Below are 25,921 nucleotides of genomic sequence, written 5' to 3'. Positions count from 1 at the left end.
TTGTTTTCTCTGACTTTTTTAGTCATGATGTGCCATATATAATGAGCCTACCCCACATCATTTACTATTCTTAAATAAGAATGATGGATAATATAAACTATCTACATACATAATTGAAAAACAAACAATGGAAGGAATGAAAGGAGAGAGGAAAGGGTAGATTGGTGATGTTAGGTATGTTGTGTAGGTTTGTTCTATTCGTTACTCAAGTAGTGTAACCAGCACTGGCTGCCATTAGAGATGTGGTTTTTCGAAGTGCCAGCGACTCTTGCAAATGGTGTGGACCAAACCCAAAAGGTATAATGTTCTGGTTTACATTTCTGATAAATTCAATATATAAGGGAGTCATTTAAATTTTTGGTGTTACAGTTATAAAGTGGAATTATGTTATAAATTCAGATAATTGTAAATGGGTTTTTAATTTTATTTATTATTATTATTATTTTGAAACAAGGTTTTCCTCTGTCGCCCTGGTTGGAATGCAGTGGCATGAGCTCAGCTCACTGTAACCTCCACCTCCCGGGTTCAAGCCATCATCCAGCCTCAGCCACCCAAGTAGCTGGGACTACAGGCACTCGCCACCATGCCTGGCTAATTTTTTTGTATTTTTAATAGAGACAGGGTTTCACCATGTTTCCCAGCTGGTCTTGAACTCCTGAGCTCAAGTGACCTGCCCACCTCAGCCTCCCAAAGTGCTGGGGATGACAGGCGGGAGCCACAGCCCCTGACCTAAGTGGGCTTTTAAAATTCTCATAGCATCTGTGAGACATTTGAAAGACATACAGAATACAAGACAGTTTCTTTTTTGTGTGTAGGACTGTCATGTGCTGTGTAGGATGCTTAGCATTCTCTGTCCTATTTCATTAAATTCCAGTGGTATCTTTTATTTATTGTGACAAGAAAACACTCACAAATTTCAAAATACCATACAAAGCTTTTGGTTGCCCACATTGAGAACAAGTGTTGGAGGTAGAAACATGAGCAGACATTATTTCTACCTTCACATAACTTCTGGTTTAGCTGGAAGACAAACATACAAAATAAGTATTATTATAAAACAGTGTTACTGCTATGATCCTAGAGCATGAAAGAGAGAACACCTAACTCTGCTTGGGGAAATCAGGGAATGCTTCATGGAAGAGATAGTATAAGATAAAAGAACAGGTAGACAAATGGGAAAGGTAACACACCGTGTGAATAGCACCTGCAAATGTATGAGAAACCTTGAAAATATTTTTATTTGGCTGCAGCGTAGAGTAGATGAGACAGAACAGCAGGAAATATGAGATAGACAGGACTAGATTCTGTTCAGTAACTTGTATGCCATGTTAGTAGGCTTTAATTACATTCTAGAAACTGGAAAGCCTTTGAATAAGAGAGTAGCATGAACAGTTACATACTTGAGAAGGTCATACCAGGCCCAGAATGGAGGATAGATTGTAGGTCAGTCTGTAGGCAAGGAGACCAGTTAGGAAGGATTAGCAAAGTTTGGAAGTGAGATGATAAGTACCTGATCTAGGACAGCGGTAGTTGCAGTGGAAATATAAGGGAGAGGACAGATATACTAGTGTTTTTGAGGAATGGGGAGGTGTCGCAAGTTTCTTTCTTTTGCAACCAGAGTAGTTGCCATTCACACATGGATGGGAATTTTAAACAGCTCAAGTTTGGTGATGGCTAAGGCAGCTGGAGGGATTGGGTTGGCAGGAATTGGGGGGAATCTGATTAATAAACTTATTTTAAAATATCTGAAGTTTGAGATGCTTGTGGGTCATTCAGGAAGGGCTCTTCAGAAGACACTTGATTACAGGGACATGGAGCTTAAGAGAAAGGCTAGACTAGACCATGGCATGTTTTATTGGCTACTCAGGGCAGGGTTCCAGTACTGTTTCTGGTAATGGCAGAACTGTTTGTATTGGACTAAACCTTTTGCATATTACAAACCCTATACAAAATATTTTTGTAAAACTTAACTATTTAAAGATATTGGTGAATGACAAGAAGGAAGAAAATGGAGGGACACTTTAAAAAGAGAACTGCAGAGTGGCATTTCTGTTTGTACTTTTTAACTGAGGGAACTCCCTTGTCTGTAAGACTTGTTACAGCTAAAATGCAGGCAGAAAGCTGTAGTCTCAGTGATTTGAAGTTTCAGTATTCTTTGAATAATGAGAATTTTAGTACTCCTAAGTAGGATAAACATAAGCCTTTTTTTTTTTGTCATTTATTTGAATTCTGGCATTTAATTTAGAACAGAATTCATCTTTTTACAAAGCTATAGGTAGTATAATCCCATTCTTGAGTGTGTGAGAGTATGAAAGGGAGGTTTATACATTAGACCTATAGAAGAATACTCTCTGGAATGATATAATCTCTGGCTGCTCATTATGGGTTTTGTTGTTGTTTTTTACTTTATATTTTTGTCATTGAGAATCCTTTTTTACAGTGAATATACATTGTTTTTGGATTTGGATAAGACATCATCTATTTTGAGAGAAAGAAACCTGTTTAGCAGTGGGACCTAACAATTTCATTTACCTTTTCAACTTAACTGACTAGTTGCAGCATTCTTAGTAATGAAATATTAAAAACTTGATATTTTGCTTCAGGAAAATGGGACCAATACTGCTGATCATGTTCGAAATTCCAGTTGGGCAAAAAACGGCTCCTACCAAGGTGCTCTTCATAACGCCTCTGAAGAAGCCACAGAACAAAACATACGAGCTGGTACCCAGGCAGTTTTGCAGGTGGATCACTTTATGGCTATTTTTAAAAATAAAATAATCATTAAATATTTCTGTTCAGTATTTCAGTATACAGTATACTTTTCACAATATAATAAATTCACCACCTATATTTATCATTATGCCATATTTTATTTTTTCCTTTCATCACTTAATATATATATTAATAAACATTACATATTATTCTAGATAATTTTAAATGTTATATAAATTATGTTATGGTGTACTGTCATCTGCAACTGATTTTTTTTATTAGCCATTCTGTTTATGAGATTTGTTGTTACTATACAGCCATAATTCATTTTAACTATTTTGTGGTATTGTACTTTATTTCACATTTGACTTATTCATTTTTCTGTTGATGGTCTTTTGTTTCCAGTTTTTCACTATTCCAAATAGTACTACAGTGAACTTTTTTTTTTTTTTGAGATGGAGTTTTCGCTCTTGTTGCCCAGGCTGGAGTGCAATGGTGCGATCTTGGCCCACTGCAACCTCTGCCTCCAGGGTTCAAATGCTTCTCCTGCCTCAGCCTCCCAAGTAGCTGGGATTACAGGCGCGTGCCACTATGCTCAGCTAATTTTTGTATTTTTAGTGGAGACAAGGTTTCACCATGTTGGCCAGGTTGGTCTCGAACCTCCTGACCTCAGGTGATCCACCCGCTTCAGCCTCCCAAAGTGCTGGGATTATAGGTGTGAGCCACCATGCCTGGCTGTGAACATTCTTTTTTTTTTTTTTTTTTTTTTTTTTTTTTTTTTTGAGATGGATTTTCACTGTTGTTGCCCAGGTTGGAGTGCAATGGCACGATCTCGGCTCACTGCAACCTCTGCCTCCTGGGTTCAAATGATTCTCCTGCCTCAGCCTCCCAAGAAGCTGGGATTACAGGTGCCCGCCACCACGCCTGGCTAATTTTTTTGTATTTTCAGTAGAGATGGGGTTTCGTCATGTTGGCCAAGCTGGTCTCAAACTCCTGACCTCAGGTAATCCACCTGCCTTGGCCTCCCAAATTGCTGTGATTATAGGCATGAGCCACCACGCCCAACTGTGAACATTCTTATACATGTATTTTTATATGCAGCTGGGAAAATTTCCCTAGGTTATATACCAAAAGTGGCATTACTGAGTTGTAGGATTTGTACATTAATAACTTTACTATTATCGCCCAATTGTTCTCCACTTTGTCAGAATAATTTACATTCCCTCTAGTAGTGTTTGGGAGTTCTCATTTCCTTATGTTCTCCCTATTACTTGTACTGTCAGATTTTAATTTTTTGCTGGTCCTTTATATGTGAAATATTGTCTCATTTTTAAAAAAAAGTTTGTGTTTTTCCATTTTAATTTGCTTTTCCTTCATCAGTACTGAATTTGAGCATCTTTTCTTATCTATGAATTCATATGCTTTTCCATTATTTTGGGTGTTGGTCTTTCTCTTAATGGTTTGTAGGAGTTCATTATATTCATTCACTTTTTTTTTTTTTTTTTTGAGATGGAGCCTCGGTCTGTCACCCAGGCTAGAGTGCAGTGGCACAATCTCAGCTCACTGCAACCTCTGCCTCCCAGGTTCAACCAATTCTCCTGCCTCAGCCTCCTGAGTAGTTGGGATTACAGGCACACGCCACCATGCCTGGCTAACTTTTGTATTTTTAGTAGAGATGGGTTTTTGCCATGTTGGCCAGGCTGGTCTTAAACCCCTGACCTCAAGTGATCTGCCTGCCTCAGCCTCCCAAAGTGTTGGGATTATAGGCATGAGCCACTGTGCCTGGCCAATCATTCACTTTTTAAATCAAAATGTCCTTGTCAAGGCCACATGTGACCTCTACATTGTTAAATCAGATGTACATTTTTTCATTCCTAATCCTGCTTGATTTATCAGAAGCATTTACAGAGTAGATCATTCCTTCCCCATTGAAATGCTTCTTTGCTTGGCCTCCAGAATAGCATATCCTCCTGTTTCTTCTCACTTCATTGTCCACTTCTTAAAACAGATTCTTTCACTGATTTTTCTGTAAAGCCCTGACCTTTTCATGTTGAAGTGCCCAGGAATCAGTTCTTGAATCTCTTATTCTCTTGTCTCATACATATAGATGGCTTTAAATATCATCTGTATGCTACAGCTTCAGATTTTTATATGTAGTCTAGGATCTCTCATCTGAATTCTGTGAATCCTTAACTAAAATATTCAAATATCAAATTGTCATTTTCACTTGGCTATCTAATAAGTATCTCAAATTTGAGTGCTTTTCCTGCAGTCTTCCTTGTTTCATTTACTGGCAACTCTGTTTTCCATTTCCCTTAACGTTTGTCTAATTTGATGACAAATCCTGTCAGCTCTCCCTTCATAATGTGTACAGAATCTGACTACTGCTCAGCACACACACTACCTCTTGTGTCTAAGTTTCTCTCTCTAATCTTTCATCTGTAATATTGTAGTAAATTTCTAATTAGTCTCCCTGCTTCTGCCCTGCCCACCTGTCACTCTGCTCTGGCCAGAGGGATCCTGTAAAATGTAAGTCAGATTATGTCATTTTTCTGCTCAGAACCCTCCAGTGACTTTCCATTATCACTAGGCAGCAATGCAGAAGTCTTTATAATGGTCTATAAGGCCATCATTGCTCCTCAGAGTGTGGTGCATAGACTAGGGCTGGCCCACAGCATAACTGCAAAACAGAGTAAAACTTTAGAAATGAAATAATTTAATATCTCTTGATTCTGTTAAAAAATTTGCATTTGAATTTTGTCTTACTCTTTTTTCATTTCCTTTTTTCTATTCATTTTTCCCCCAGTTGATAGTCTTTATTTTTATTTTTTATTATTCCATGGGTTATTGGGGTACCAGTGGTATTTGGTTACATGAGTAAGTTCTTTAGTGGTGATATGAGATTTTGGTGCACCCATCACCTGAGCAGTATACACTGCACCCTATTTGCAGTCTTTTATCCCTTGCCCCCCTACTACCCTTCCCACAAGTCCCCAAAGTCCCTTGTATCATTCTCATGCCTTTGTGTCCTCATAGCTTAGCTCCCACATATCAGTGAGAACATATGATGTTTGGTTTTCTATTCCTGAGTTACTTCACTTAGAATAATAGTCCCCAGTCTCACCCAGGTTGCTGCAAATGCCGTTAATTCATTCCTTTTTATGGCTGAATAGTATTCCATTGTCTATATGTACCACAGTTTCTTTATCCACTCGTTGATTGATGGGTATTTGGGTTGGTACCACAATTTGCAGTTGCAAGTTGTGCTGCTATAAACGTGTGTGCAAGTATCTTTTTCATATAATGACTTGTTTTCCTCTGGGTAGATACCCAGTAGTGGGATTGCTGGATTAAAATGACAGTTCTACTTTTAGTTCTTTAAAGAATCTCCACACCATTTTCCATAGTGGCTGTACTAGTTCACATCCCCACCAGCAATGTAAAAGTGTTCCCTGATGACCACATCCATGCCAGCATCTAGTGTTTTTTGATTTTTTTTTTTTTTTATTATTATGGCCATTCTTGCAGGAGTCAGATGGTATCGCATTGTGGTTTTGATTTGCATTTCCCTGATCATTAATGATTTTGAGCATTTTTTCATGTTTGTTGGCCATTTGCATATCTTCTTTTGAGAATTGTCTGTTCATGTCCTTAGCCCACTTTTTGATGGGATCGTTTGTTTTTTTTCTTACTGATTTATTTGAATTCATTGTAGATTCTGGATATTAGTCCTTTGTCAGATGTCTAGATTGTGAAGATTTTCCCCTACTCTGTGGGTTTTCTCTTTACTCTGCTGACTATTCCTTTTGCTGTATAAAAGCTCTTTAGTTTAATTAAGTCCCAGCTGTTTATCTTTGTTTTTATACTGCTTTTGGGTTCTTGGTCATGAAATCCTTGCCTAAGCCAATGTCTAGAGGGATTTTTCCAATGTTATCTTCTAGAATTTTCATTGTTTCAGGTCTTAGATTTAAGTCCTTAATCCATCTTGAGTTGATTTTTGTATAAGATTAGAGATGAGGATCCAGTTTTGTTCTGCTACATGTGGCTAACCTATCATCCCAGCACCATTTATTGAAAAGGTGTCCTTTCCCCACTTTATGTTTTTGTTTGCTCTGTCGAAGATCAGTTGGCTGTAAGTATTTGGGTTTATTTCTGGGTTTTCTATTCTGTTTCATTGGTCTCTGTGCCTGTTTTTATACCAGTACCATGCTGTTTTGGTGACCATGGCCTTACAGTATAGTTTGAAATCAGGTAGTGTGATACCTCCAGATTTGTTGTTTTTGCTTAGTCTTGCTTTGGCTATGTGGGTCCTTTTTTGGTTCCATATGAATTTTAGAATTGTTTTTTCTAATTCTGTGAAGAATTATAGTGGCATTTTGATAGAGATTGCATTGAATTTGTAGATCACTTTTGGCAGTATGGTCATTTTCACAATATTGATTTTACCCATCCATGAGCATGGGATGTGTTTGCATTTGTTTGTGTCATCTGCGATTTCTTTCAGCAGTGTTTCGTAGTTTTCCTTGTAGAGGTCTTTCGCCTCCTTGGTTAGGTATATTCCTAAGTATTTTATTTATTTATTTATTTATTTGTTTATTTGCAGCTATAATAAAAGGGGTTGAGTTCTTGATTTGATTCTCTGCTTGGTTGCTGTTGGTGTATCTCCTGTTTTGTTTCTTAATGAGCTTATTTGAATTTTCTCTCTTCTTGGTTAATCTTTCTAAGGGTCTATCAATTTTATTTATCTTTTCAAAGAACTAGCTTTTTCTTTCATTTATCTTTTGTATTTTGTTTGTTGTTTTAATTTAGTTCTGCTCTGATCTTGGTTATTTCCTTTCTTCTGCTGGGTTTGGGTTTGGTTTGTTCTTGTTTCTCTAGTTCCTTGAGGTATGACCTTAGACTGTCAGTTTGTGCTGTTTCAGTCTTTTTGATGTAGGTTTTTAGGGCTATGAACTTTCCTCTTAGCACCACCTTTGCTGTATCATAGAGGTTTTGATAGATTGTGTCATTATTGTCGTTCAGTTTGGAGAATTTTTTGGTTCGTTTGCTTATTTGTTTGTTTTTGAGACAGAGTTTCACTCTTGTTGCCCAGGCTGGAGTGCAGTGGTGCGATCTCAACTCACTGCATACTCCACCTCCCGGGTTCAAGCAATTCTCCTGCTTCAGCCTCCTGAGTAGCTGGGATTACAGGCATGCACCACCATGCCTGGCTAATTTTGTATTTTTAGTAGAGACGGGGTTTCTCCATGTTGGTCAAGCTGGTCTTGAACTCCCACACTCAGGTGATCCGCCCGCCTCAGCCTCCCAAAGCGCTGGGATTACAGGTGTGAGCCACCGTGCCCAGCCAGAAGAATTTTTAAATTTCCATCTTGATTTTGTTTTTGACTCAATGCTCATTCAGGAGCAGGTTATTTAATTTCCATATATTTGCATGGTTTTGAAGGTTCCCTTTGGAGTTGATTTCCAGTTTTATTCCATTGTGGTCTGAGAGAGTGCTTCGATATAATTTCAATTTTTTAAAATTTATTGAGGCTCATTTTGTGGTTTATCATATGGCCTATCTTGGAGAAAGTTCCATGCACTGTTGAATAGAATGTGTATTCTGCAGTTGTTGGATGAAATGTTCTGTATATATCTGTTAAGTCCATTTGTTCCAAGGTATGGTTTAAATCCATTGTTTCTTTGTTGTCTTTCTGTCTTGACCTGTCTAGTGCTGTCAGTGGAGAATTGAAGTCCCCCACTATTATTGTGTTGCTGTCTATCTCATTTCTTAGGTCTATTAATAATTGTTTTATAAATTTGGGAGCTGCAGTGTTAGGTGCATATATGTTTAGGATTATGATATTTTCCTGTTGGACAAGGCCTTTTACCATTATATAATGTCCCTCTTTGTCTCTTTTAACTGCTGTTGCTTTGAAGTTTGTTTTGTCTGATACAAGAATTGCTACCCCTGTTCGCTTTTGGTGTCCATTTGCATGAAATGCCTTTTTCCACCCCTTTACTTATGCGAGTCCTTCTGTGTTTGTTGAGTCTCCTGAAAGCAGCAGATGGTTGGTTGGTGAGTTCTTATCCATTCTACAGTTCTCTATCTTTTAAGTGGAGCATTTAGACCATTTACATTCAATGTTAGTATTGAGATGTGAGGTACCATTCCATTCATTGTGCTATTTGTTGCCTGTGTACCTTGGTTTTTTTTTTTTGTTTTCGATTTTTAAATCGTATTTTTGTTTTATAGGCCCTGTGTGATTTATGCTTTAAAAAGGTTCTGTTTTGATATGTTTCTAGGATGGTTTCAAGATTTAAAGCACCTTTTAGCAGTTCTTTTAGTGGTGGCTTGGTATTGGCAAATTCTCTCAGCATTTGTTTATCTGAAAAAGACTGTATCTTTCCTTCATATATGATGCTTAGTTTTGCTGGATACAAAATATCTTGGCTGATAATTGTTTTGTTTGAGGAGGCTGAGGATAAGGCTCCAATCCCTTCTAGCCTGTAGGGTTTCTGCTGAAAAATCTCTGTTAATCTGACAGGTTTTCCTTTGTGGGTTACCTGGTAGTTTTGTCTCACAGTTCTTAAGAGTCTTTCCTTCATCTTAACTTTAGATAACCTGATGACAATGTGCCTAGGTGATGATCTTTTTGCAGTGAATTTCCCAGGTGTTCTTTGTGCTTCTTGTATTTGGATGTGTAGGTCTCTATCAAGGCCAGGGAAGCTTTCCTTGATTATTCCCCTAAATATGTTTTCCAACTTTTAGATTTCTCTTCTTCCTCAGGAACACCAATTATTCTTAGATTTGGTTGTTTAACATAATCCCAGACTTCTTGGAGGCTTTGTTCATATTTTCTTATTCTTTTTTCTTTGTCTTTGTTGTGTTGGGTTAATTTGAAGACCATGTCTTCCAGCTCTGAATTTCTTTCTTCTACTTGTTCAATTTTATTGCTGAGACTTTCCAGAGCATTTTGCATTTCTATAAGTATGTCCAGTGTTTCCTGAATTTTTGATTGCTTTTTCTTTAAGCTATTTAATTCCTTGAATATTTGTCCCTTCACTTCTTGTATCATTTTCTGGATTTCCTTGCACTGGGCTTTGCCTTTCTCTGGTGTGTCCCTGATTAGCTTAATAACTAACCTCCTGAATTCTTTTTCAGGTAAATCAGGGATTTATTCCTGGTTTGGATCCATTGCTCGTGAGCTAATGTGATTCTTGGGGGTGTTAAAGAGCCTTGTTTTGTCATATTACCAGAGTTGGTTTTCTGGTTCCTTCTCATTTGGGTAGGCTCTGTCAGAGGGAAGGTCTAAGGCTGAAGGCTGTTGTTAAGATTCTTTTGTCCCATAGAGTGTTCTTCTGATGTAGTACTCTCCCCCTTTTCCTATGGATGTGGCTTCCTGTGAGCTGAACCGCAGTGATTGTTGTCTCTCTTCTGTGTCTAGCCACCCAGCTAGTCTCCCCGGCTCCAGGCTGGTAGTGGAGTTTGTCTGCACAGAGTCATGTGATGTGAACTGTCTGTGGTTGTCTCGGCCATGGATACCAGCAACTGTTCTAGTGGAGGTGGCAGCAGGTGAAATGAAGTCTGTGAGGTTTCTTAGCTTTGGTGGTTTAATTCTCTGTTTTTGTGGTGGTTGGCCTCTTGCCGGGAGGTGGCACATTCCAGAGAGCATCAGCTGTGGTAGTATGGAAAGGAACTGGCAGTGGATGGGGCCCTAGATCTTCCAAGAGCATATGTCCTTTGTCTTCAGTTACCAGGATGAGTAGGGAAGGCCCATCAGGTGGGGGCAGGGCTAGGTGTGTCTGAGCTCAGACTCTCCTTGGGTGGGTCTTGCTACAGCTGCTGTGAGGGATGGGGGTGAGGTTCCCAGGTCAATGGAGTTGTGTACCTACGAGGATTATGGCTGCCTCTGCTGAGTTATGCAGGTTGTCAGGGAACTCAGGGAAAGCCGGCAGTCACAGGCCTTACCCACCTCCCAAGCAATCTGAAGGGCCAGTCTGTCTCCCACCATGCCCGCCCTAACAACACTGAGTCTGTTTCCAGGCAGTGGGCGAGCAGGGTTTGAGAACTTTCCCTGGGCTACCTTCCTCCCAGCTGTGAAAGAAATGGGCTTTGGTTCTTCCCCTGCCTGTGGAGTCTGCACACCGGATTCACACCCTCCTTTGAGTTCTGGCCAGGAGGCTTCTTGCCTGGTTCAAATTTTTACAAAGTTCATCTGGAGACTTCCTTCTCCCTGTGGCATTTTCCACACGCCTCTGGCCACCCTCCCAAAGGATCCCTGTGGTGCCAGGCAGGAATGGCCTGCCTGGGGACCCAGCAAGCTCCCAGGGCATTTCCTACTGCTTCCTCTACCCCTGTATTTCCCTCGGCTCTCTAAATTTACTCCGCTCCAGGTAAGGTCGGAAATTTCTCCCACAAACTAGACCTTCAGTTTCCCCAATGGGTGTGTGTTTTCGGGAGAGAAGGATCTCCATTTCCCACTTCTGCCGTTTGGGCACTCACAGCATTTGGAGTGTCTCCTGGGTCCTGCAGGAGCAGTTTGCTTCCTTCAGAGGTCTGTGGGTCCTTTTGGGATTCCTGGTGTTTGTTCTTGCAGTTGTTCTGGAGGTAAAATTCATGATATGAGCCTCCACACGCTGCTCTGTCTGTCCAAGTCGGAGCTGCAATTTAGTTCTGCTTCCCGTCAGCCATGATGATCTCTCTCCCAATCTCTGTTCATTTTTCATTGTATTTTAAAATAGGATTGATCTGCAAAAGTTTGGGGCTGGGGAAGACCTGTTCTTTCACTACAGGTAGTGTGAGAATCTCTGCTCCACATACTCTGGCTGTTTTTCAGCATCATCTTCCACTGCTTTTCCCCTGGTTTACTTCACTCTGTACTCCTTGCCGTTCCTCAAGCATGTTAGGCAGGCTCTCACCTCAGGTCCTTTAAACTTGATTTTCCTCTTTTTCTGAAATACTATTCTCCTAGACAGGAACGTAGCTCCATTTGTCTTTTCCTTTTCAGTTTGCTGATACTTATTCTCTACCACCCACTCTTCCTTTTATGCTTACTGGGCCCCTCAGATCCATGGGATGAGAGTGAGCACCCTTGTCTTATTCTTGGCTTTTTGTGGTATTTCTCAAGTTCTATTACTATGTATATACTTTTTTTTATACTTTTTTATAAATGCTCTTTTTTATTTCAATGAATGTGTGCTTTTTTCTTAGTTTGCTAAAAATTGTTTTCAGTCATAAGTGTTGAATGCTTTTTCTGCATACATAGTGATAATCAGTTTTTTCCATTTTAATATTTTGATGGGATATAGTAATTTTTCTAATGGAATCTTCTGTCACCAAAACAGATATACAAACATAAAAATAAATAAGAAAAAGAGGATAAAATGTTTTGAACAACTCATTCAGAAAATTCTTCCTGATTTAGGTGTCATCTTTTATTCTAAACTATGTGTATTTATTTTTTTTTCAATTTATTATAGCAATAGAGTTATTAAAGCTTCTCAGTTTAGAAGTACTGTGTTTTAGGCCAGGTGCAGTGGCTCACACCTGTAATCGCAGCAATTTGGGAAGCCAAGGTGGGCAGATCACTTGAGGCCAGGAGTTTGAGACCAGCCTGGCCAGTATAGTGAAACCCTACCTCTAGTAAAAATACAAAAATTAGCCTGGCATGGTGGCACACATGCCTGTAATCCCAGCTACTTGGGAGGCTGAGGCAAGAGAATCTGTTGAACCTAGGAGGCAGAGGTTGCAGTGAGCCGAAATCATACCGCTGCATTCCAGCCTGGGTGACTAAACAAGACTCTGTCTCGAAAAAAAAAAAAAAGAAAGAAATACTGTTGTTTGCACTTGGTTTATTTTCTTTGGGTACCTACTATTAACTTTATATTTGTCTAGGTAAACATAAAAATAGGTAGGTTTAATGAGTTTATGTTTCAGTTATTAAGCTTGTAGAATTTACCCACAGTGTGATCAGTGTCTGTTTCTCTTTGAATAAGAAATTTGCCATTGAAATTCCTTTGTGAATAGCTAATGATTTCTTTTGTCTTAGGTGTTTATTATAAACTCATCAAATATATTTCTTCTTGAACCTGCAAATGAAATAAAAAATCTTCTGGATGAACACACAGATATGTGTAAACGCATTCTTAACATTTATCGGTACATGGTTGTACAAGTATCAATGGACAAAAAGACTTGGTAAAAAAATTTTTATCCTTTATGTCTATGTGTTTTTATTGTGTACACAGGTATAGTAATTTTTAGAGAAATAGTGTCTGTGAAGAGGGTTTGTTTACAGTATTATAGAGGCTCCTATTATTGAATAAATATAAAATTAATCATAGTGGCAATAGTTCCTTTCAGCTTATCTGAAACTTTGTTCGGACTTCCGCAAGACCCCTTGGACTGTCTTCCTGAAGTGAGCATATAATGGCCTCATCCTCCTCAACCCCTAAGGAAAGAATACATGCATACAAATGTATATGAGTAAATGAAGTTTACTTGTGTGTGAATGAGTTAATGAATAAGTTGATGATTGACTGAATATGTGAATGCCTGAATCCTTAATCTGGCATTCAGAGCTGTATACCGTCAGGCCCTGCCTACTTTTCCTGTCTGAAGTCTAACCTCCAGCTTTCAGGATAAGATCCTGCTTCCCAGCTTTATCAAGTTGTTCTTCCCTGGGCACCTTCTGAACTTTCCTTTAGAATGTCTAATTCTGCTGTTTTTCCTGTTGTCACCGTAACTGTCCCTTAGATTCACCTTCCTGTTTCTACATATCCTTACTTAAATTTTTTCTTCACTTGTTTCCATTCTATATTTGTACTTCTGTATAGTTCTTGTGAAAACTGTCTTGATCCCTAAAATACTTGTGTAAATATCTGTTTACCACCATAGAACTGAGAACCCCTAGAAGGTATTTACTGGTTTTCTTATTTTTATATTTCCTACATTTCTTAGTATAGTACATTATATATCATTGGTGCTCTATAAATAGTTGTCTAATTGATTGGAAAAATAGACCTTTTGGGGAGATGGGAAAGTGGTTCTGCAGTTTTTGTAAAAATGAAATGTTTATCATAAAATTCAAACAAAGAAAAGTTTAAAAAAGAAAAAAGCTCAAAGGTTCACTCTCTAGAGATAGTAGTGATGTTTGTCCTTTGGTGAATATCTAGCTCATCAAACCACACACACAGTTATATAGTATTATACTATATATATATATATATATATATATATATATATATATGCCATAATTTTCTTAACCAGTCCTGTACTGATGGACATGTAGTTATTTCTCTCTGTTTTGAGGCAAAGAGAGGACAATGAACATTCTTATATGTATTTTATTTTCCTCTACATGTGGCAAAACATAAATTAGGTATATGCTTTGACTAAGTACTCCTAATTTTTTTTAAGAAAGAAGACTACTTAGTCAAAGCATATGCCTAATTTATGTATAAAATGGCTTTATATTTTGAAAAGATTCTTTACTAACAGTATTAATAGAATGGCATATAGATGTAGTTATTATTATTAACACATTTGGGACACTTATTTGTGCCACATAGCTTTCTAAGCACTTTACACATATTTTCTTACTTAATTCTTACAGCACCCTATGATACAGATAATACTGGGAAGTTAAGTAACTTGTCCTTGTTCACACAGCTGTTAAGCAGTGGACAGAGATTTGAACTACGGTTTTTCTGACTTCAGAGCCCAAGTTATTATTAGCCAATAACTACATTGGACAATTATCTTGTTAGTCCTTTTTTTTCTTTCTGTATACTTTGAATCATTGATGAGCCAGATTATAGTGACTGACTTGCTATGTAGAAAACAATTTTAGAATTTTTTTCTTAATTTTTAAACTTCCCTTGAAGTAATAGCATTTTGGGAGGTTTTTCATATATTTTACATTGAATTTTTATATAGAGAGAGATGTTTCGCCTTGTTGCCCAGGCTGTTCTTGAGCTCCTGGGCTGAAGCGATCCACCTGCCTTGACCACCTCCCAAAGTACTGGGATTACAGGTGTGAGCCACCACACCTGGCCAGAATTTATAAAACTTTATTAATTAAAATCATTTTTATTGTATTACAAAGTGAAAATATTGTATGATTTATGAGTGAGTTATGGTTTGACAGCAAATAAGATTTATTTGGAAAATCTATGCTTTATTGCATTTGTAGTTGATTTCAAATAGCTTTTTATTTCATGTAGCTAAGCTAGAAGCATAAGGTTACAAATGTGGCACCTTTGATTTTTATTCCGTGAATAAATGCATGCATTTGTTTGCTAATACGTCCAGGATATTTTTAATGTAGTGATAGTTTTCTGTTTGATTCTACTCTGACTTCTCAGAAGAACCATGACATCTAGATCTAGGATCTGTTGCCGCCCCTGCCACATTTCTCACAGTGACTGTTCCACGTATCGCTATGCCTGGAATGGACTTGCAAAATAACCAGAGGGGAGGAGGCTGTGATAGAGAATTGGGCTGATACACCCAACTGAAAGTCCCTTTAGCCTCTTTTTCATATGTGGTTGAATCAAGTTTTGAAGTATCAGTGTAAATAAGGTAGTTTTATGGTTTTAATAATAAGCATCTAAGAGAAGGAGGCAAGGTAAGGATAATAATAGAATTGGTTTAACTTGCAGTACAGACAAAAAAAGATTAAAAAACTGCATAATGAAAAGAGTGGAAAGAAACAATAGAGTAATGGCCCTTGATTAATTATCAAGCTCACTGCAGACTCAAACTCCTAGGCTTAAGTGATTCGCCCACCTCAGCCTCCTGAGTAGCTGAGACTATAGGCATGTGCCACCACACCCAGCTAATTTTTTTTTTTTTTTGAGAGACAAGGCTTGCTGTGTTGCCCAGGCTTCTTTGTGATCTATTAATTAAGATGTCATATAATTTCTGAAATTGAGATTGGTATGATTCTCAATATGTAGTTACTCAACATATTATAAAGATGGATTTGATTGATTTGATATAGTTATTCTCCATATTATAAAGATGGATTTGATTGGATTCCATCTGGGTAGAACTATATTGTGTAGATGAGTGTTCTTCAGATAGCTCCTTAAGGTCACTACTTAATTTGTGGTTGCGGAGACGGGAGCATTCTCCACATTATCACTTCCAGTTCCTCAGCTTTTGAATAGGTTTTTATTTGATGAGAGGATATTGTGGCCGATAAATGATTTTAAATGATTGATGTAGATACATAAAATGTAATTTTAATTTTTAATATTTAAGGAACTCTAAACATTTGAAATTGTCTTTCAAAGATGTTTAATATTTGAATTTTTATAAGAAGTATGTATTTGAAAGTTAACTATTAACCAAATGCAAACATATGCAAGAAGGAAACATTAATCAGTCTTTTTATTTTAAGGGAACAGATGCTGCTTGTGTTGCTCAGAGTCACGGAATCTGTACTGAAGATGCCATCACAAGCTTTTCTACAGTTCCAAGGGAAAAAAAATATGACCTTGGCAGGTCGACTTGCAGGACCACTTTTCCAGGCAATAAAAATAAATAAATAGATGAATAGCTGGATAGATATGGGTTGTTTTGTTTTGTTTTGTTGTTTGTTTGTTTTTTAAAATTCATTGAACCCTGAACTTGTTACCAGAAAAAAAAGTTTTAAATTAGAGATTATTTCTTATTTATTAAGGGATCTTTTGTAGAGCTAACTTAAAAGTTGCTCATCTAAATAAGCTATTTGCCATACATAAAACCTAGTATAAGAGTGGAGGTAATATCAGGTCTGTGAACAAACAGGCTAATGATATTTATTTTATCTCTTGTGTAGTATACATAATATGTGGTTGCAAAAACCTGGCAGTGTTTTAGGGATAATGACCTGACTGCTTTATGAGTTTCCGTATCTCTGGGACTGCTAGGAAAAACTGTCTTTTTATGTTATTCTGTAATAATGAAAAAGTAATAAATAATTAAGATTGATTCTTATCATGCTTTTTTTTAATAAGACTTTATTATCCTCCCTTCTCAGTTGGTGGTAGTTTGATTACACAGGAATTCTATATTGTGTTTTTTAAATCTGAGGATAGAGTGCTGACTTTAAATGTATTATGGATTCTTTGAAAAAAAGAAAACAAAAAATTTTTTTAAGATGATACATGAAATACAAATACATGATTCTTAATGTCAAGGGTAAAAGCTGTCTCAGATCTAATTCTTGGCCAAGAGTAGCCATTTAAATTGGTTGGAGTTTTTTTTCATATATTAGCCATTTACCTAAAATTATATGCTGGTGTTGAACAGTCCTTTAAAACCAGCTACATGTATCATCTAAACTCCTCTTAACTTCATTAGCCATTTTTTGTTTTTTCATTCAGGTTTCTCCATTGTTAGAGCTAACCCGATGATGGGAGCTACAGGAAGATAAAATTTTATCTTGCTATGTGAAACAACTTTTTTATAGTCTGAGTATTAAAGTAGTCTTTTTTTTGTATTAAATTAAAGATAGATTGGGAGGTCAGTAGTTACTATAGTTCTGTACCTAAACTCTGTTCATTTTCATCTTTACATTTCAGGTATAAATTTATGTGAATTCCTTTCTAAATGTTGTAGAATTAAGCTTTTGAGAATCGTTATTTTATGACTTGTTTCTTCAATCAGAGGACATATCTTTAGTAGAAATCCACAAAATCTCAGGGGGTACTTACTGGCTAATCCATTTCTGTCCTTTTATGAATTTTTTTATCCTGTGATCAGATTTATTACAGAATGCTTTTAATTTGTTGTGTTTAAAAATATTTAATTTCAACCTTTAGTTTATGTATACATTTTCAAAACTACATTTCATTAAGTTAAATATGTCTCTAGTATGTTGTTTCTTTATATTATTAAAAAACATTTTCGAGTTGTAGTTAGTGATTTCCATCCTTAATTTGGGAATGTAGGTTTTGGCTTTTTAGTTCAGTAACTCAACATTTTCAACACTTAAAAGTATGGAGACTATTTTTTAAATAGCATTTATTTAACATTAATATAATGCAGCATAAGAGACAGTTATAAATTTAGGGAGATTTCTTTTTAGATTGCTGGGTGTTGGGAGTTGGCAGTTGTTGAAATGAAATTTATAGTAGATTCTAATGATTGCATGAATTGCTTTTACAAGTAGTATTATCTATTAAAAAAAGCATGCGATTTTAAATGTTGCTTGTTTTTAAGTAATTTTTTTAAGAATTGAATGTCTGATTTTGAAGTCACACACTAAACACATTTTATTGTTATTTCTGATATTTGTCTTTATAGACCCTTATAGTTGCCTGGATCAAAGCAAACCTAAATGTGTACATCTCCCGAGAACTTTGGGATGACTTACTGTCAGTATTGTCATCGCTGACCTATTGGGAAGAGTTGGCCACTGAGTGGTCACTGACTATGGAGACATTAACTAAAGTTTTAGCTAGGAATTTATATAGTTTGGATCTCAGTGATTTACCATTGGATAAGCTGAGTGAACAGAAACAAAAAAAGCACAAAGGGAAAGGTAAGAATTGTTCATAGAGATGCTCTATATAAATTTGTTTAAATAATTGAGTCAGGGAAAACCATTCCAGGGAGAGGGGTGAGGGTGAAATAAGTAGAATCTTAAATATTTTATTTTTAAGAATTAAACAAAATGAAAATGTATAAAATACCATTCCTTTTTATCGTAAGCAATTTTTTCTTAGAACTGAGAAGGTGGTTTAATGTTACTCTATTTAAAATGTGTACAATAATTATTTTAAAAATTGTTTTTGAAAGCACTTACTTAGTTTTAACTAAAAGCAAACATTCCCTAGACATGAAATATGTATCTGTCTAATGTTAAAAGGGAGTGGGGCAGTAGCCTAATGATTATATCATTAATATATGTTTTTAAAATCCTCAGTTAGTTAGGATTTTGCTTTTTTTTTTTTTCTGAGACAGGGCCTCACTCTGTTTCCTAGGCTAGAGTATAGTAGCACAGTCATGGCTCACTGCAGCCTCGACCTCCCAGGCTCAAGGGATCCCCACCTTCAGCTTCCCAAGTAGCTGGGACTACAGGCCACCATGCTCAGCTAAATTTTTTTGTTTGTATTTCTTATAGAGACATGGTTTCACCATGTTGCCCAGGCTAGTCTTGAACTCCTGGGCTCAAACAATCTGCCCACCTCCACCTCCCAAAGTGCTGGGATTACAGGTGTGAGTTACTACTCCCAGCCAGTATTTTGCATTGTTAAATATTAGTTGCTAGCTAGAGTTTACATCTAAGTCACATTTCATACTTTTGTCCAGGGTATTATGTACTCAAACTACTTTTTCCTGGACTATATTTCCCAAGTGGCTATTATTGGCAGATTAGAGATTTAGTAATCATCACCACAGGATGGGTTTTGTTTAGCACCTTTCCTGTCTTTTTTTTCTTGTCTAAATGTTTCATTTTTATTCCAAAGCAAGTGGGTGGCAGAGAATTTCTAATAGCTTATTGCTAATGGTGTAATTTTAAAATTGCGCATCAGTTTTGGAATATGATTTATACATAAAGTGAAGCTCATAAAAGCCTTACAGTACACAGCGTTTTGTCTTATTACTTTATAATTTATGTGAGCAAACCTAAGACTCTGAGGCAAGGTAGCACGCATAACTTGAAGATATTATTGATCAAGTAACAGTATATTGAGATTGAAAATCTACATTTCCAGGAGTTGGACATGAATTTCAGAAAGTTTCAGTTGACAAGTCATTTTCTAGAGGATGGAGTCGTGATCAGCCTGGCCAAGCCCCAATGAGACAGAGGAGTGCAACAACCACTGGTTCTCCAGGAACCGAAAAGGCGAGGAGTATAGTACGGCAAAAAACTGTCGGTATGTACTCTTGAAAATCATGAGAATGGTACAGGGCACTACATTTATAGTCCTTGGTAACAATTTATATCAATATAAATTTTTCTTACCAGTTGATTATTGTTGTGAAATGAAAAACTGCTATAGCAAAGCCTTTTTTCCAGAAGTACTCAGAGTCTAGTGATAGGCTGTTATCCCTTTATGCTATTAAGATTTATTGGACATTATTTTTATGTGGTTTATTTTACTGTAGAGAGCCCTAATATTAAAATGTTATTTTACGGAATTGAAGAAGTAGAACTGTGATTCACTTTACAGAACTCAAGCATTAACTGATGTGGTTTCATTGAAGGAATTTACTCACAAATATGGAAAATTAGGGTAGCTAATTTCCTGTGCTACAATTATATAGTAGATTAGTTTCACAGACTTCCAACAAGAATCTCATTTTCTCTGCTGGCAGACAGCTAAGGCCAACATGGAGTCTGTTACTGAGTTTCTTGCTGCTTTTAACAAAAAATGGAAGAAAGTTCTATAACCTGGGAAATAGCAGCAAAGGAACAACGTTGGGAACAATTTCTGGGCATAAAATCGCACAGTGTACTGTGGAATTAGCTACCATCTCATTCCTTTTTCTCAGAGGTTTATAAACTTGGCTGAATTATAGTAGAAAAAGCACTGCAATGAGAAATAAGGAGGGCTTTTTCCTAATCTCTTTTCTTACTCTCTTTGATCACTAAATAGGTAGGTAACCTTGGACAGTCTACCAAACGTTTCTAGGCTTTTTTTAAAAGAGAGATCTCGCTCTGTTGCCTTTGTTGGATCATAGCTCACTGCAGCCCTGGACTCCTGGGCTCAAAGTGATCCTACCTCAGCCTCCCCTGAGCCTCTTGAGTAGCTAGGACTACAGGCGCCTGCCACCATGCCAGGCTAACTTTATTTTTCATAGAGACAGGGTCTTGCTATGTTGCCCAGGCTGGTCTTCAGTTCCTGGCCTTAAGCAGTCCTCCCACTTTGGCCTCTCAAAGTGCTGAGATCACAGGTGTGAGCCATGGCACCCAGCCTTTTCTAGGCTTTTTAAGTACTTCATCTGTGTAGTGGGAATGATAATACTGCTCATTCCTGAAACAAAATTGCCTGAAGTTATTCCAAGGTTTACAATCAATGCTTCTATGAAAAGAGAATTTTCCATGGGAATGTATCCGTATTTAATGGTAATCAGTGAAAAACACTATTAATTTTAAAGAAATGTAAAGCCATTATTGTAAGGATACATCTTGTATAAAAAATTAGGTTCTAAAGTGTTAAGAATTATGGTTTGAAAGGAAGAAACAACTAGAAAGAAAATAAGAGATTAAAGATTTTAAAAGAATTAAAATACATGGTTAATGTAAAATCCTTTAAAAGGATCACATATTCAGAATTGTCTTATGCTTTTAAAATAAGCATAGAATTACATTAATTGTATATTCCAAGCTAGAAGAATAAGACAAGATATAAGGGAAAAAGTTATTGTAGTATTAAAATGAATATAATGGGAATTTTACTATAAAATTACTTTTTGGAATCCTAAGGAAAATGATTATATTTGAAATGCCTTCCTTCACTTTATATTAATGTCACAATTATAGAAAATATTTGTGTATTAAGAATTGTTGGCCGGGCGCGGTGGCTTACGCCTGTAATCCCAGCACTTTGGGAGGCCAAGGCGGGCAGATCACAAGGTCAGGAGTTCGAGACCAGCCTGACCAACATGCTGAAACCCCGTCTGTAGTAAAAATACAAAAAAAATTAGCCAGGCATGGTGGCATGTGCCTGTAATCCCAGCTGCTCGGGAGGCTGAGGCAGGAGAATCGCTTGAACCCAGGCGGCAGAGGTTGCAGTGGGCAGAGATCAAGCCTGGAGCGACAGAGGGAGCGACAGAGGGAGCGACAGAGGGCGACTCTGTCTCAAAAAAAAAGAAGAAATTGTTCTTTTAAGTCTAAATTTTTATTTTATTTAAATCAAATCTTTTTTTAAAAGTACATTTTTTTCTGATTATAGAAGTAATTTATGCTTAGTGTGGAAAGTTACATTTAGGGAAGCATAAAGACCCATTAGCTGTCTAATGAGAAGTAATCATTGTTAACATGTTGGCGTGTATCTTTGTAGTCTTTTACATAGCATGTAATGAGTAAAATATTCATGCTGACTTCATAGCTCATAGTGATTACTTTCTAGTTGTACTAATGTCAAAACAGTTTTGTCTGAACCGAACAAGCCTATCAAAGTTAAATCCTTAAAAATTTGTTAAGAAAGGTAGCTGCATGGAGTTATAAAAAGGGGCAGCAGATTAAATTAGGATGTTCTTTGGGCATATTTTTAAAATTTTTTAACATTACTTTTTTTTCTTTCTGAGACAGTCACCCAAACTAGAGTGCAGAGGTGCAATCCCAGCTCACTGTAACCTCTGCCTCCTGGGTTCAAGTGATTCTCCTGACTCAGCCTCCAGTAGCTGGGATTACAGGCATATGCCACCACACCCAGCTAATTTTGTATTTTTAGTAGAGATGGGATTTCACCCTGTTGGCCAGGCTTGTCTTGAGCTCCTGACCTCAAGTGATCCACCCACCTTGGCCTCCCAAAGTGCTGGGTTTAACATTAATTTTTCCAGCCTGGGCAACATGGTGAAACTCTGTCTCTACCAAAAAAATACAAAAAAATTAGCTGGGTGTGGTGGCGCATGCCCGTAGTGCCAGCTACTTGGAGGACTGAGGTGGGAAGATCTCTTGAGCCCAGGAGGTTGAGGCAGCAGTAAGCTGAGATCACACCACTGCACTTCAGCCTGGATGACAAAGTGAGACCCTGTTTCCAAAAAAAAAAAAAAAATCCATTTTTTTATAGTTATTTATTTATTTATTTTTTGAGATGGAGTCTTGCTCTGTTGTCCAGGCTGGCATGATCTCAGCTCACTGCAACCTCCACTTCTAGGTTCAGGCAATTCTCCTGCCTCAGCCTCCCAAGTAGCTGGGACTACAGACACATGCCACCACGCCTGGCTAATTTTTGTATTTTTAGTGGACACGGAGTTTCACCATGTTGGCCAGGCTGGTGTCGAACTCCTGACTTTAGGTGATCCGCCCACCTCGGCCTCCCAAAGTACTAGGATTACAGGTGTGAGCCTCTGTGCCCAGCCTTTATGTTTTTCATGAACGTACATGGTTAAAAATTTAGACTGTGATTAAGTGTATACATTGTAGTAAGTCTCCCTCATCACTATTCCCCACCTTCCCATTTCACCTCACTAGAGGCAACCATTATTACCAGTTTCTTGAGAATCCTAAAGATACTTTATGTCGATACAGGCTTATAGCATAACATATAAAATCTTGTGAATCATGGCTTTACATATGTGAATGAAAAAAAATTCCTTTAAGTACTCACTATGGAATTGCTGTTCTATGCATTAAGGATATAGTTGTGAACAAAGCAAGTAAATTCCACTGGAGCTGACAATTCTAGTGTTGGGGAAGAAATATAATAAGCAAATAAACCAATAAACATGTCAGGAGTTAGTAAAGGTATGAAGAAAAGTCAATCAGGTTAAAGGAATAGAAAGTGTTAGAGCTAAGGACATAGGACGACTGTTTTAAGTAGGGAGGTCAGGGAAAGCTTATTCTATCCTATAAGAACAAAGACCTGAATGGAGAAAGCGCATTCCAGGCAGAAGGAAAAATAAAAGTCCCAGAGCTAGGAATATGCTCTAGGGCTTTTGAGTGTTTGAGGAGGAGTAAGGAAAGAAGAGAGCGTTAGGAGATAAAGTCAAGCTATAGTGATATATCTTAAAGATTATTATATATCAAAAAAATGTTGGCCAGGCACAGTGGCTCACACCTGTAATCCCAGCATTTTGGGAGGCCAAGGCAGGAGGATCACTTGAGGCCAGGGGTTTGAGACCAGCCTGGACAACATGGTAAAACCCCGTCTCTACTAAAAATACAAAAATTAGCTGACCGTTGTAGTACACGCCTGTAGTCCCTAGTCCCAGCTACTCAGGAGGCTGAGGTACAAGATTTGCTTGAACCAGGAGGTGGAGGTTGCAGTGAGCCAAGATTGTACCACTGCACTAGGCAGAGCGAGACTCTTGTCTCCAAAAAAAAAATAAAATAAGTTGGAACTTCCTGTATCATAATTACGTGGAAGTACTATAAAATTTAACCTATGTCCTGAAGATGAATATACATTTTATAATTTTGTGCTATTAAAAATGGTGTAGAATAGGCTGGGCGCAGTGGCTCACGCCTGTAATCCCAGAACTTTGGGAGGCCGAGGCGGGCGGATCACCTGAGGTCAGGTGTTCAAGACCATCTGGCTAATATGGTGAAATCCCATTTCTACTAAAAATACAAAAAATTAGCCAGCGTGGTAGCCTGTGCCTGTAATCCCAGCTACTCGGGAGGCTGAGGCAGGAGAATAGCTTGAACCCGGGAGGCAGAGGTTGCAGTGGGCCGAGATCGCACCATTGCACTCCAGCTTGGGCAACAAGAGCGAAACTCCGTCTCAAAAAAAATGGTATAGAATATACTTATGTATTCTTCTATATTTTGTGCATATATGCAAGTATATCTATAGGTTAAGTCTGTAGGATATGAAATTAATTTGCCCTCTAAAGAGAGGAACCTTTGTAGCCTTAATAGATTTAAGCAAGGATCATTAGTAGATATCAAAAACATTAATGTGTAAAGGATTGCTTGGGAAGAGGATATTCACTTGTTGCCAAGGATTCTCTTACAGATTATTTATATTTGCAAAGGGTAAATATACCTTTACAATGGAGGGACCTGGAATCAAGCCTATATACCTAACTTCTAGTTTATAGTATATATAGGAGATAGAAGAACAAATTAAATGACCCCAAGAGAAAATAATTAAAATTAGAAGGTAGTACATATTATGAGACAACTGGTCTAGCCTCTTCAAAAACACAGTATCATTTTTAAAAAGTTGAGGTGGGGTCTGTTTTAGGCTCAAGAGACAATAACCAAATGCAATATATGAACTCCCATGGAATCCTGGTTTGAAAAACATAAAAATTATTTTGGGGATATCTTGGTAACTTTGAATATGGATTGAATATCAGATGATATTATGGAATTTTTGTTAATTTTCTTAGGTGTGATAATGGTATATAGGTATATAATGGTATATAATTTTCTTAGGTGTGATAATGGTATATAGAAGGATGATCTTACCTGTAGATGAATCCTGAAATATTTAGGGGAGGTATACCTGTTTACATTGCAATAGTCTTTTTTTTTTTTTTTTTTTTTTTGAGACGGAGTCTCACTCTGTCACCCAGGCTGGAGTGCAGTGGTGCGATCTCAGCTCACTGCAACCTCCGCCTCCTGGGTTCAAGTGATTCTCCTGCCTCAGCCTCCCAAGTAGAGTAGCTGGGACTATAGGCGCACACCACCACGCCTAGCTAATTTTTGTATTTTTAGTGAGAAGGGGTTTCACCATGTTGACCAGGCTGGTCTTGAACTCCTGACCTCAAGTGATCCACCCTCCTCGGCCTCCCAAAGTGCTGGGATTATAGGCATGAGCCACCATGCCTCACCATCTTTTAATTTTTTCTACATTTGAAAATTTTCTTAATAAAAAATTGGGAAGAAAGGGGCTTTTTAAAAAGTCATTACATGACTCGTATTGCCAGCAACATAGTGAACTTGATATTCTGGAGCTATTAGATATTCTTGCTAGCATTTCGTCGTACCACTGGTTTGCAAATAGAGAAACCTCTAAGACTCTTCTTACTCATTTCCTTGACCAAAATAAAACTATGAGTGGAAAATGGAGTGATGAGCAGTAAGCACACTGGAAAAGTGGGATGATCTTGAAGCAAATTGCTGATAATCACTTCTGGGATTCAGACTGAGACTTGAGCAAGCTTCAAGGTTGGATGACTGAATTGAAGACTTCCATGTTAAATTGGTTATCTTGAGAAGGATACAAGTTAATTTCAGGTCAGTAATGCTTCCTGACAGTTGTACAAGCAAACACAAATTACCTCTGGAGTAATTCACTCTCAGTTAGGCCTCCAGAAATTCCACAGATTAGAATCAACCAAATATGAGTTCACAAAGATTATTCAGTAAACATGGAAACAAATTATGTAAATGAGTTAGCAAAAAAGAGAGAGAAAATTTAGATTCCTTAAGATTTTAATCCCTAATATTGGAATAAATATTATGGAATAAATAAATAAATAACCAGACTATAAAATAACCATGTTTGAAATGTTTGAAGAGGAAAATGATAAGCTCATTAAAATGATTAAAAAGAATCAAATAGAACTTTGAGAAATAAAAACATAATTCCTGAAAGAAAAAAAAACAAT

At 37.4% G+C, this 25,921-nt stretch overlaps 1 protein-coding gene across 24 annotated transcripts in view; it reads left to right on the top strand.

Moving 5' to 3' along the window:
* The window catches only part of RALGAPA1 (Ral GTPase activating protein catalytic subunit alpha 1), a 270,940-nt gene that overhangs the window by 68,042 nt on the left and 176,977 nt on the right, over positions 1 to 25,921 (top strand). For 21 of the 24 annotated variants that reach the window (XR_007063998.1, NM_194301.4, NM_001346246.2 and 18 more), the window contains exons 12-16: positions 2,604 to 2,741; positions 12,744 to 12,892; positions 16,101 to 16,230; positions 17,990 to 18,227; positions 19,405 to 19,566. Coding sequence is in view for 20 of the 24 variants with exons in the window: in NM_194301.4 (NP_919277.2) it covers positions 2,604 to 2,741; positions 12,744 to 12,892; positions 16,101 to 16,230; positions 17,990 to 18,227; positions 19,405 to 19,566 (817 nt within the window). In the remaining 4 variants the exon portion in view is untranslated. Of the gene's footprint in view, positions 1 to 2,603; positions 2,742 to 12,743; positions 12,893 to 16,100; positions 16,231 to 17,989; positions 18,228 to 19,404; positions 19,567 to 24,064; positions 25,548 to 25,921 lie in introns of those variants that run through there. The other 3 variants (XM_017021146.2, XM_024449523.2, XM_005267498.5) reach the window with 3 other exon arrangements.

This window comes from Homo sapiens, chromosome 14 (assembly GCF_000001405.40).
Source record: "Homo sapiens chromosome 14, GRCh38.p14 Primary Assembly".
NCBI classification, from domain to species: Eukaryota; Metazoa; Chordata; class Mammalia; order Primates; family Hominidae; genus Homo; species Homo sapiens.
This window is presented reverse-complemented; position numbering and strand designations above follow the sequence as displayed.